The sequence below is a fragment of the Homo sapiens genome, chromosome 10 (assembly GCF_000001405.40).
Source record: "Homo sapiens chromosome 10, GRCh38.p14 Primary Assembly".
Classification (NCBI taxonomy): Eukaryota; Metazoa; Chordata; class Mammalia; order Primates; family Hominidae; genus Homo; species Homo sapiens.
Window position 1 is genome coordinate 74,846,720 of NC_000010.11, and position 12,477 is coordinate 74,859,196.

Sequence of the window (12,477 nt, forward strand, 5' to 3'; positions counted from 1 at the left end):
AGCCACTGTGCCCAGCCTTAATTAAATATTTTTTATAAAAGCTTATACTGTGAAGAAATTCCTTAAGGGACTATAGAGCCATTTCTTGATGGATTTGGATATCTTTGTTTTTAAAAATATGTACACTACCCTAAGGTATGTTAAGGTTTTATAATGAACAGGTACGTGGACTAATTCAGGTAGCTTTAGGCAATTTAATAGTATGTTTCAATAATTTTGTGATCCAGGGGATACTTTTTACTTGTGATGGAAGAGTCAGTACAAATTTTCCACAGTATCTTCTGATCCTTCGCTTTAACCTTGCCCGTCATTTCTTGCCAACCTTATCATATTTTTTTCAGGCAGCATCTGTACAGAAGTATTTTTAGTCTAAAGGAAAATTCATGTCTGAAAGTGTCTAGGATTGAGAGCAGAGTAATTTATTGCTTAGCAGGCAATTGTTACTGCTCTTTTTATGATGCTGATCTTTAAATTGTTTAGTTAGCATCATGCTATAATGAGGAAAGCTGAGAAATGTTTTCTAGAATTTTTACTTGATGAAATTTGGAGACTAATTCTATTAAGTAATCATTTGATTCTTAAAAAACAAAAATAAATAAAAATCAGTTTAAACAAAGTTGGCAACATGTTTGTATTCTTTAATGAAATAGCATTTTTTTCCAGCTGGGTGCAGTGGCTCATGCCTGTAATCCCAGCACTTTGGGAGGCCGAGGTGGGTGGATCACCTGAGGTCAGCAGTTCAAGACCAGCCTGACCAACATGGAGAAACCTCGTCTCTATTAAAAAAATACAAAAGTAGCCGGGCATGGTGGTGCATGCCTGTAATCCCAGCTGCTGGGGAGGCTGAGGCAGGAGAATTGCTTGAACTTGGGAGGCAGAGATTGCAGTGAGCCGAGATTGCGCCATTGCATTCCAGCCTGGGCAACAAAAGCGAAACTCCATCTCAAAAAAAAAAATAAATAAATAAAATAGCATTTTTCCTTAAAAAATGTGAGAAAATTACAACATAATATATTACCCTTTGAAATTAAAAGTGATTTAATAGTTTAAAACCATGTAAACTCGCTAAGTAAATTTAATAGAAATTCTTAGCCCGGGATCCACAAATGAACTTGGGTGGGTATCCCACAAATCCTCTGAAATAGAGTGTGAAGTCATGTGTGTGTATCCATGTTTTTCTTTTTTTTTCTTTTTCTTTTTCTTTTTTTTTTTTTTTGAGACATAGTTTCACTCTTGTCACCCAGGCTGGAGTACAATGGCACAATCATGGCCCACTGCAACCTCTGTCTCCCAGGTTCAAGTGACTCTTCTGCCTCAGCCTCCCTAGTAGCTGGGATTACAGGCGTGCGCCACCATGCCTGGCTAATTTTTGCATTTTCAGTAGAGACGGGGTTTCACCATGTTGGCCAGGCTGGTCTTGAACTCCTGACCTCAGGTGATCCACCCACCTCAGCCTCCCAAAGTGCTGGGATTATAGGCATGAGCCTCTGTGCCTGGCCTCCACATGTTTTTCTATGGCTAGGGTCTATAGCAAGCTTGTCCAACCCATGGCCCATGGGCTAGATGCGGCCCTGAATGGCTTTGAATGCAGCCCAACACAAATTCGTAAACTTTCTTAAAACATAAAGAGATTTTTGGCTTGCGGCGTGGTGGCACACGCCTATAATCCCAGCTACTCAGGAGGCTGAGGCACAAGAATTGTTTGAACCTGGGAGGCGGAGGTTGCAGTTAGCTGAGATTGAGGCACTGCACTCCAGCCTGGGCGACAGAGCAACACTTCGTTTCAACAACAACAACAAGAACAACAACAACAACAACAACATTTTTTTGTGGTTTTTAATTTTTTTTTTTTTAAGCTCACTAGCTATTGTTAGTGTATTTTATATGTGGCCCTAGACAATTCTTCTTCCAGTGTGGCCCAGGGAAGCCAAAAGATTGGACACTCCTGGTCTACATCTTTTGTCAAAGGCACCCAAAATGCCTAGTAGCCATTTTAAAATAGTTTGAGTTTCTTATACTAAATCATAGTATGCTAATTGTCGACCTATGATGATTCTTCCTTTGGCTGCTGAACTTGGATTCATATGTAGATTGATTGTACTATAATTTCCTATATATAAGACTTTTTCTAATATATTTGAAAAGATTATCATTGTTCTTGATGTGCTTGAAGTCATAGGATTTGCCTTGCATTGTGGGAGGAAATTTATGATATAAGTGAAAACAGTTCAGAAATGGAGTGATCTCAATTACAATCTAGTCAACTAATGCCTTTTTTTTGAGACAGAGTGTCACTGTGTCACCCAGTCTGGAGTGCAGTGGCATGATCTTGGCTCCCTGCAACCTCAGCATCCCAGGTTCAAACAATTCTTGTGCCTCAGCCTCCCGAGTAGCTGGGATTACAGGTGTGTGCCACCACACTGGGCTAATTTTTGTATTTTAGTAGAGATGGGGTTTCATTAATGTTGGCCAGGCTGGCCTTGAACTCCTGGCCTCAAGTGATCCGCCTGCCTTGGCCTCCCAAAATGCTGGGATTATAGACGTGAGCTACTATGCCCCATGCCTGGCCTAACTAATGACTTTTTTTTTTTTGAGATGGAATCTCACTCTGTCATCCAGACTGGAGTACGCTGGTGCCATCTCAGCTCACTGCAACCTCCGCCTCCCAGTTCAAGTGATTCTCCTGCATCAGCCTCCCAAGTAGCTGGGATTACAGGCACGCACCACCAAGCCCGGCTAATTTTAGTATTTTTAGTAGAGACAGGGTTTCACCATGTTGACCAGGCTGGTCTCGAACTCGTGATCTCAAGTGATCCGCCTGCCTTGGCATCTCAAAGTGCTAGGTAGGATTACAGGCTTGTGAGCCACCGTGCCTGGCCATGACTTTCAAGAAGCTGTTTATTCTGGTTACTTTTTTGAGCAGTTACATTAAATGTAAAACAAAATAAAAATAGTAAGAATAATAACTAACGTTTTGTAAGTGTTAAATGCTGGCACTATTCCAAGTGCTTTACATTTATTATCTCCTTGACTTGTCACAATAACTGCAAGGGAGGTAGATTATTACCCTTATTTTACAGATGAAAAAATGAGGCTGAAAGCTTAAGTGATTTGCCCAAGGTCACTGATAGAGCTAGTGAGTGGTGAAGCCAAGATTCTGACGAGACAGTCTGACCTCAGAGCTCTTTACCACTGGGCAGTACACTGGTCAACAGTGGTGGCTTTTTTTTTTTTTTTGAGACAGAGTCTCGCTCTGTCGCCCAGGCTGGAGTGCAGTGGCATGATCTCGCCTCACTGCAAGCTCCGCCTTCCGGGTTCACGCCATTCTCCTGCCTCAGCCTCCTGAGTAGCTGGGACTACAGGCGCCCACCACCACGCCCGGCTAATTTTTTGTATTTTTAGTAGAGACGGGGTTTCACCGTGTTAGCCAGGATGGTCTCAATCTCCTGACCTCGTGATCCACCTGCCTCGGCCTGTGGTGGCTTTTTATTAACAGTAAAAGTATCTCTTCCAGTTCTTCAAATGATTAGAAGCAGTTTTGCCCCAACAAATAGATTTCCAGCATTTTAAATTTGGTAGATGCAATGAGCTTATTATAGTTTTTAAAGTAGATACTATTTATAATATTAGCAATATGGAAAGGCAGTAGAGAAAGTAGTAAGTCTGTGTCTAATTAGATTGAACATCATCATCATTCCGATGCATGACTGCTAGGAGGAATACAATGCAAGTTAAAATAGAAGGGCTCCTTCCTTTCTGAAATGTAATTGCACATCTTCTGATAGTCTGGAATTCAAATTGGGTATTACCACACTGGCTTCTTAGCATAAATTCTTTGTATTTATTTAAGAAAGCTCTCTTCGGTGAGGTGATATGGAAATGAATTAAACCACTGAAGATAAAACTTTATCTTTGACTTGGTGAGGGAACTCCTAAAGGATAGTATTAATGTTTCTCATTAAAAGTAGTAAAGCTCAATTAGGTCAGATTATGAGGACTTTGGAAAGTCACATATTCTAAGAGAGACTTCCATTATCACTGCGCACTTTGTAGCATTAAGATTCCATTTGAACATTTGAGCTTTAGCATTTTTATAAAATCAGTTTAGTTCCATTTAAAATAAATTCCATAGTATTTCACTTTAGTGAGAATGTCTTCATAAAATTTATTAAGTGTCAAGTCTTGGTCTGTTTCCAGTGTAGTACATAATGTGGGAATTCTCATTCTAGGTTGGCATCGTAATTGGAAGGTGGGACACTTTCAGTATCAAGTAGGGCTTCTGATGTTTTTTCTGTTGAAGAAATATTTGTATTAGAATCTTACAAAAAGCCTTCAAACATAAACAAAATTACAAAAACAGTGATACTGTCAATAAGAAAAAAATCAAAATGATTTTTTTTTTTTTGGATACAGAGTCTTGCTCTGTTGCCCAGGCCGGAGTGCAGTGGCGCAATCTCGGCTCACTGCAGCTGCCGCCTCTCGGGTTCAAGCGATTCTCCTGCCTCAGCCTCCTGAGTAGTTGGGGATTACAGGCATGTGCCACCATGCCCGGCTAATTTTTGTATTTTTAGTAGAGACAGGGTTTCACCATGTTGGTCAGGCTGATAAGAATGATTTTTTTTTTTTTTTTTTGGAGATGGAGTCTTGCTATGTTGCCAGGCTGGAGTGCAGTGGCGCGATCTCGGCTCACTACAACCTCCGCCTCCCTGGTTCAAGCAATTCTCCTGCCTCAGCCTCTGGAGTAGCTAGACTACAGACGTGCACCACCACGCCCAGCTAATTTTTGTATTTTTAGTAGAAACGGGGTTTCACCATATTGGCCAGGATGGTCTCAATCTCTTGACCTAGTGATCCACCTGCCTCGGCCTCCCAAAGTGCTGGGATTACAGGCATGAGCCACTGTGTCTGGCCACAAAATGATTTTTAAAAGGAGTTCAGATGATCAGAAATGGGGTTGAAAGACAAACGTAGGACCCTTGTTATGTGTGGTCTTGGCTTATTCAGTTGTTTATTCTATTTCTCCTGCCCCTTTTAGAGAGATACGTTGTTAGGGTTTTTGGCACTGTTATTAATATGAAATATTTCTACAAATAGAAGATAAATGTACATCCTACAGCAGTTGCTTGAGTTGTTTACACACATGAATTAGATAAGTTTATTTTTAGATTTTCTTTTCTTCTGTTTTCTCCATTCTGTTTTCTCCTCTTCAGTCCCCTTAACCCTGCCCTAGAGCAGACCCTCCTCATCTGTTCTGGGACTTTTCCAATAGCCTGTACTTTATGAAGGACTATTCATTAGTCCATATTGTTCTTTGATGTGGCAGGCTTCCAGAAGTCTCTCAGCCCTAGGGGAATTGTTCATAGTCTCAGGCAACTCTGGATCTTTTTTGGCAGAAATGTGTATATTTTTTATCTGCTAATTATAGAGCCTGAATGTCCTCCTCTCTGTTGACCTTCTTAGTTTTCCTTTGAATTGGTATCCTTTGTGTTGCAGATGTCATCTTTCTTGAAGAGTGCTTGATTATGTGTATTTAACTGAAAATCGAATAAATCTCTAAATATTGTAAAATATGCTCTTCAAAATAACCTGCATTTTGGAATTGGTATGGATAAAGTCAGTTTTAGAATCACTAAAGTCAGACAGAAACCTATTGTAATGTGAAAGACGAGGTGGATCAAATACTTGCTGTTCCAGGGTCATGGAAGGAAAAAAATTGCAGTTCATGTTCTTCTTATAATTAAGCTTCAGAAGTTCTTCACAATAGCAGTGTCTGAGGACTGCTTTTGTGAGCAGGTAGTACCAGTTGTTGAGACATTGTTGAGAGAGCACATGAATTGTCTCAAACTAGTTAGTTGGGTCAAGGGAAAGATAAAATGAAGGGTGAATGAGTCTTTCTATTGTACTCTGAGGCATGACAGCGTGTTCCACTTTTGAGCTTTTATCAAGATGGGACTTGTCTAGACTTCTAATGAAATGGGCTTCAGGTAAAGTAGAAACATTATGTCAAGAGGATTTTTGGTTGTTCAAATGAATGTTAAACATTCTTTTAACTCTTTGGATCTTAGATAGATTTGATAGTTGTGATACCTTTACTGTATGTAACACATGATCCTGTCCTGAATGATCAGCAGCTTTCAGGAGTTACTCTTGTATTCCCAGCTACATTTGTGATACTTTCAGTGCTAAGAAAATCTATATTCTGTAGCTTTGAAGTTATTTAACAGTTAAGTACTATTTGCTGGTTTATTCTGATTTTGTCTTAAATGACAAATATTTTATTCATCCTTTCTCTTCAAACATTATTTAACAAATGTACGTTTTAATGTTTCTCAAAAATGAAGGTCTATATTCTTTTTATATGTTTTATCTTTGTATGTTATTTCTTTCATCTTTTTTTTTTTTTTTTTTTTTCTGAGACAGGGTCTCACTCTGTTACCCAGGCTGGAGTGCAGTGGTTTGATCATGGCTCACTGCAGCCTCGACCTCCCGGGCTCAAGTGATCCTTGATCCTCCCACCTCAGCCTCCTGAGTAACTGGGACTACAGGTGTGCACCACCTTGTCTGGCTAATTTTTTTTTTTCTTTTTTTTGAGACAGTCTTACTCTGTTGCCCAGGCTGGAGTGCAGCCGTGTAATCATGGTTCACTGCAGCCTTGACCTTCCCAGGCTCAAATGATCCATCCTCCCACCTCAGCCCCCCAAGTAGCTTGGACTACAGGCACACACCACTACACCCAGCTAATTTTTGTATTTTTTGTAGAGATAGGGTTTCGCCACGTTGCCCAGGCTGGTCTTGAACGCCTGAGCTCAAGCAGTTCACACACCTCGGCCTCCCAAAGTACTGGGGTTATAGGCGTGAGCCACCGTGCTCAGCCTTTTATTTTTAATATATAAGAAATGCCTTTTTTTTTTTTTTTTTTTTAATTTGAGATGGAGTCTTGCTGTCTTGCCCAGGCTGGAGTGTAGTGGCATGGTCTCGGCTCACTGCAACCTCCGCCTCCCAGGTTAAAGCAATTCTCCTGTCTTGGCCTCCCGAGTAGCTGGGATTACAGGCATGTGCCACCACTCCTGGCTAATTTTTTTGTATTTTTAGTAGAGACGGGGGTTTCACCATATTGGCCAGGCTGGTCTCGAACTCCTGACCTTGTGATCTGCCCACCTCGGCCTCCCAAAGTGCTGGGATTAGAGGCATGCCCCACCACGCCCAGCCCATTGTTTTATCATGACAGTAGCAATGTGTTTTAATTGTAAAATTCTTGACTTTTTGTTTTGTTTATAAACTTCCTTTTCTTGGCCCTGTGCCTTAAACTACAGTAGATTAGGTGAAACTGTTCTCTGATCACACTAGCATTTAAAATATGAACCTGAATCTTCTCAGGTACTTTGATCTCTCCAATCTATTAATGTTTCTGAGTACATAAACATCAATTAGCTCACCAAATTAAAGTTAGCAAATGCGTCAGCCATGTAATTTGCATGTGACATTTTGAGTTAGCAGGGCCAAGAGGGAAGTATGTTTTTGTGAGTGGGTGTGCTTATCTCTCTGTCTTCAGGTGGTGATGGAAAGTTGTACATGTAAGAGAAGGAGTTGTGGCAGTGGATATGTGAAATGCTAACTGTACATATGCCTCTGCTTGGGGCAGAAGCACTTTACCAGAGAAGTCTCCAACAGTTGCAAACTACATATTCTTTTTCCTTATATAAGTGAATCTTTTAATTAGTGTAATATTATGTAGAGTGTATGTTTTTTCTGTTTTTTTTTAATGAAAGGTGATATTTTGATAAATCTGCAAAATGAGCAATATAGACAACATTTTAGAGTGAATGATACTAGATTTAAACTATGAGGCTGGTCTCTGCAAAGATACAAAGTAAATACTAATCACTGGTCTAAGCAAAATCCAGGAAGGATTTTTGTTAATTTGACAAGTGGGTTTAGAATTCTTTAGCCACTATTTTTTAGAAACCAGCTTTGTTCATACATCCTTTCTCTAATTTGCCTCACTTTTGATCTGTGATAAACCAGCTGCAATTTGGTTTCATTAACAAACTTAACTGGTCAACAGATGTTTTGGCTCTATTTTGTCCTTTCTATTAGAAACAGCATAGGCGTACACAGAAACCATGCTGGGCCTTTTCCTGTCTGTAGCTCGACAGGCGTTACAGAAGAGCAACCTAACTTTACTTACAAGTTCAATTTTTCTTCCTCAGTATTTTTATTATAGGTATACAAACATTGTAGTTTTGTCTCCCCCATCAAGTCGGTCTTTTGTTGTTAATCTTCCATCTGTTAGTCCAGTATACACTTCTCACCCTGCTTTTTAGCATTGCAAAATCTTAGCATGCAGGGAAAAAGGTACTATTGCAGGAGAGGTAATTGAGATATCAGCGACTCTTCCACAATTCAAGGGAAGGAGTGGAACTAGCCTGGTGAATTTAGATAATTTCTTCCGTCTTCTTTGATGTCAGTGAGCTGCCATATGGAGAGCAGTGAGGCCTGCAGGAAGGAGGTGAGCCTTGGTCTGGGCTGCCTAGGGTGTTCAGAGTGACATGGGCTGAGAGCCAGAGGCAGAGCTTGACTGTTTCTGTTAGTAGTTTCTGATGTGACCAGCCCTGCTTTTTGTCCAAGGTTTCCCTGTCATGCTTGCCACCCTATGGGTATGATGAAGTTTAAGAAACAGATCATAAACATTATCTTGGGAAAGAGAAACATAAGAACATATTAAAATCTAGTAATAAGGCCATTAAAAGATGACTCCCATTTGATATTTGACCAACTTGTTTTCAAAATTAGTATTGTAAACACTTCTGTCTTATAACAAAACCCAGCTTTAGCTGTTGAGCCTTGAGTTGTGAGTAAAGCAGCAGAAAACAGGATCTGCTAGTGGAAGAGTATTGGCTGTTTGAAGAACATCAGCTGTTCCAGGTAGACTCCTGGCAGTGTGTGAGCAGACCTGGGAAAGGCAGGCATGGAGGGAGCTAGGAAAATACTTCTCTCCTAACCTTTATAATTTATAAAATTAGAGTATTTCATAAATATTAAAAGAGTAGTACAGTAAACACTCTATTTCTTTCACATAGATTCACCAATTTTAACATTTTGCCACATTCTTTCTCTTCCTATATGTGTGTATATGTATATGTTTTTATACATGGGTGTGCGTATATATACAGCACATTTATATATTCACAATTTTGACTAAACTGTTGGAAACTAAATTACAAATATTATATTTCACCCCTAAATACTTAATAATATATCAAAAATGTTCTCTTATATACTATACTATTACGCAAAAAATTCGGCAGTGGAATGAGTGTTAACTGACAGTCCATATTTCCCCAAATGGCCCCAAAATCTCATTTATAACTTTTGACTTTTTTTGAGATGGAGTCTCGCTCTGTTGCCCAGGCTGGGGTGCAGTGGTATGATCTTAGCTCACTGCAACCTCCACCTCCCAGGTTCAAGCAATTCTCTTGCCTCAGCCTCCCGAGCAGCTGGGACTACAGGTGCGTGCCACCATGCCCGGCTAACTTTTTTTATTTTTAGTAGTGATGGGGTTTCGCCAGGTTGGCCAGGCTGGTCTTGAACTCCTGACATCAGGTGATCTACCCGCCTAGGCCTCCCAAAGTGCTGGGATTAAAGGTGTGAGCCACTGCGCCTGGCCAACTTTTGACTTTTCATCCAGGATCCAACCAAAGATCATATATTGCATTTGGCTGTCATGTCACCTTTAATAGAGAACAGTTTTCCCTCCTTTTTGCTTCTGAAGACATTGACATTTTTGAAGAGTCTAGGGTAGTTGTCTTGTAGGATGTCCCACAATTAGTATTTGTCTGACTGTATCCTCATGATTAGATTCAGAGTAAACATTTTTGACAAGAATAGCGTGTGGGGGTCTGGGAGTGGTGGCTCACACCTATAATCCCAGCACTTTGGGAGGCTAAGATGGGTGGACTGATTGAGCTCAGAAGTTTGAGACCAGCCTGGGAAACATGGTGAAACCCCGTTTCTACAGAAAATACAAAAAAATCAGCTGGGCGTGGTGGCATGTGCCTGTAGTCCCAGCTACTTGGGAGACTGAGGTAGAAGGATTGCTTGAATCCAGGAGATGGAGGTTGCAGTAAGCCAAGGTCACACCACTGCGCTCCAGCCTGGGTGACAGAGTGAGACTCTGTCTCAAAAAGAAAAAAGAAAAGAAAAAATACTGTATGGGGGATGTTGTATATTTCTTCTTGTGAGATACCAGGAGATAAATAATTTCAGCTTGTCTCATTACTGGTGGTGCTTAGTTTATCAGTTGGTTAAGGTGGCATCTGCTAGATCTTCGTTTATAAAGGCGCCTTTTCCCTTTTGTAATTAACAAGTAATCTGTGCAATGATACTTTGAAAGCATGTGAGTAACCTTTCACCCAGTGTGTATTAGTTTTCTATTGCTGCTGTAACAAATTACAGCAACTTAATGGTTTAACACAACACAAATGTATTGTCTTACAGTTCGGTAGGTCAGAAGTCCAACATGGGTTTCTTAGGTTAAAATGAAGGTGAGGGCAAGGTAATGTTCTTTTCTGGAGGCTCTAGGAGAGAATCTTTTCCCTTGCTTTTTTGAGCTTCTAGAGGCTGCGCATATTCCTTGACTCATGATCCCTTCCTCCATCTTCAAAGCCAGCAATGTTGCATCTCTCTGACTGTTCTTTCACAGTCACATCTGCCTCTTACCACAGCCTGGACAGTTTTTCAGCTTTTAAAGGATGCATATTATTAGATTGAGCCCATTTGGATAATCCAGATAATGCCCTTATCTCACAGTCCTTAACTTTATCATATCTGCAAGGTTATTTTGCCAGGTAAGGTTCTGGGCATTAGGAAGTAGACATTTTTGGGGGAGCCCATTATTTTGCCTGCCACACAGGGTTTAGTATTGTCACCTAAATCAAATTTTGCATTGGGGGTTGCAAATCATTGAAGGTTTTGGGCTATGGTGAACCATGATCAAGTCTGTTTAGAAAGGAAAGAGGGCCAGGTGCAGGTAGCTCACATCTATAATCCCAATGCTTTGGGAGGCCAAGGCAGGTGGATCACTTGAGGCCAGGAGTTTGAGATCAGCCTGGACAACATAGTGAGATCCCATCTCTAGAAAAAATTTTTAAAAATTATCCAAGTGTGATGGCACAGAACTGTAGTCCTAACTACTTGGGAGGCTGAGGTGGGAGGATTGCCTGAGTCCAGAAGTTTGAGGCTGTAAGTGAGCTATGATCGTGCCACTGCACTCTAGCCTGGGCGACTGAGCAGGACTCTATTTCTTAATTAAAAAAAAAAAGGAAAAAATAACCAGAAAGGAATTAATCACAGTTTATGGGAGTAATGCTAGCTGAAGGCCGGGGGTCAAGAGGCCTGAGTTTTGAGTCTCATGGTACATCCTGAGTCATTTCCAGGAGAGCAGGAACGGGGGCGTGCACTCTTGCCTCCACTTCATGTCCCTTTACTCACTAGTTGAAGAACTGAAGAATGGATTTGGCACTAATAGCTTCAGAGTTTTTAACAATAGAAGTTTGGATGGGCAATTTTTTTTTTTTTTTTTTTGAGACAGGGTCTCACTTTGTTGCCCAGGCTGGAATGCAGCGGTGTGATCATGGCTCACTGCAGCCTTGACCTCCTAGGCTCAAGCACTCCTCCCACCTCAGGGTCCTGGAACTACAGGGGCGTGTGCCACCATGCCCAGCTAATTTTTGTATATTTGATAGGCATGGGTTTTGCCATTTTGCCCGGGCTGGTCTCGAACTCCTTGGCTCAAGCAATCTACCCACCTTGGCCTCCCAAAGTTCTGGGATTACAAGTGAGAGCCGCTATGCCTGGCCCAAAATGATTTTTGAGAAGTACATTTAAAGTTGTAGAGAAGGGTCTTTCATTTAAATGCCCACAGGGTGCATGAAAAATACAAGGTGATTTATCAAGATAGGCTCTTTGGCTCATGCCTGTAATCCCAGCATTTTGGGAGGCCGAGGTGCATGGATCACTTGAGGTCCAGAGTTCGAGACCAGCCTGGGCAACATGGCGAAACCCCATCTCTACTAAAAATGTAAAAATTAGCTGGGCATGGTGGCTCACGCCTGTAGTCCCAGCTACTCAGGAGGCTGAGGCAGGAGAATCGCTTGAACCTTGGAGGTGGAGATTGCGGTGAGCCAATATTGTGCCACTATACTCCAGCCTGGGCAACAGAGCAAGACTCCATCTCTGGAACTCCTGATCTCAAGTGATCTACCCACCTTGGCCTCCCAGAGTGCTGGGATTATAGGCATAAGCCAGTGTGCCCTGCCTTTGATGATATTTCAAAGACTAAGTAACATCTGAAGAATTTTATGTCTTTTATTTATTTATTTAGACAACGTCTTGCTCTGTTGCTCAGGCTGGAGTGCAGTGGCACGATCTTGGCTCACTACAGCCTCCACCTCCCAGGTTCAAGCAATTCTCATGCCT

At 41.2% G+C, this 12,477-nt stretch overlaps 1 protein-coding gene across 35 annotated transcripts in view, besides 1 other annotated feature; it reads left to right on the forward strand.

Moving 5' to 3' along the window:
- Positions 1-12,477, forward strand: part of KAT6B (lysine acetyltransferase 6B) — a 207,689-nt gene that overhangs the window by 21,784 nt on the left and 173,428 nt on the right. The window lies entirely within an intron of this gene.
- Positions 9,351-9,561: a silencer, noted in NCBI's record as "fragment chr10:76615828-76616038 (GRCh37/hg19 assembly coordinates)". NCBI's record gives its function as "represses an EF-1alpha promoter that drives an FKBP-Casp9 reporter gene in an ReSE screen in K562 erythroleukemia cells {active_cell/tissue: K562}" and the evidence as "EXISTENCE:reporter gene assay evidence [ECO:0000049][PMID:32094911]".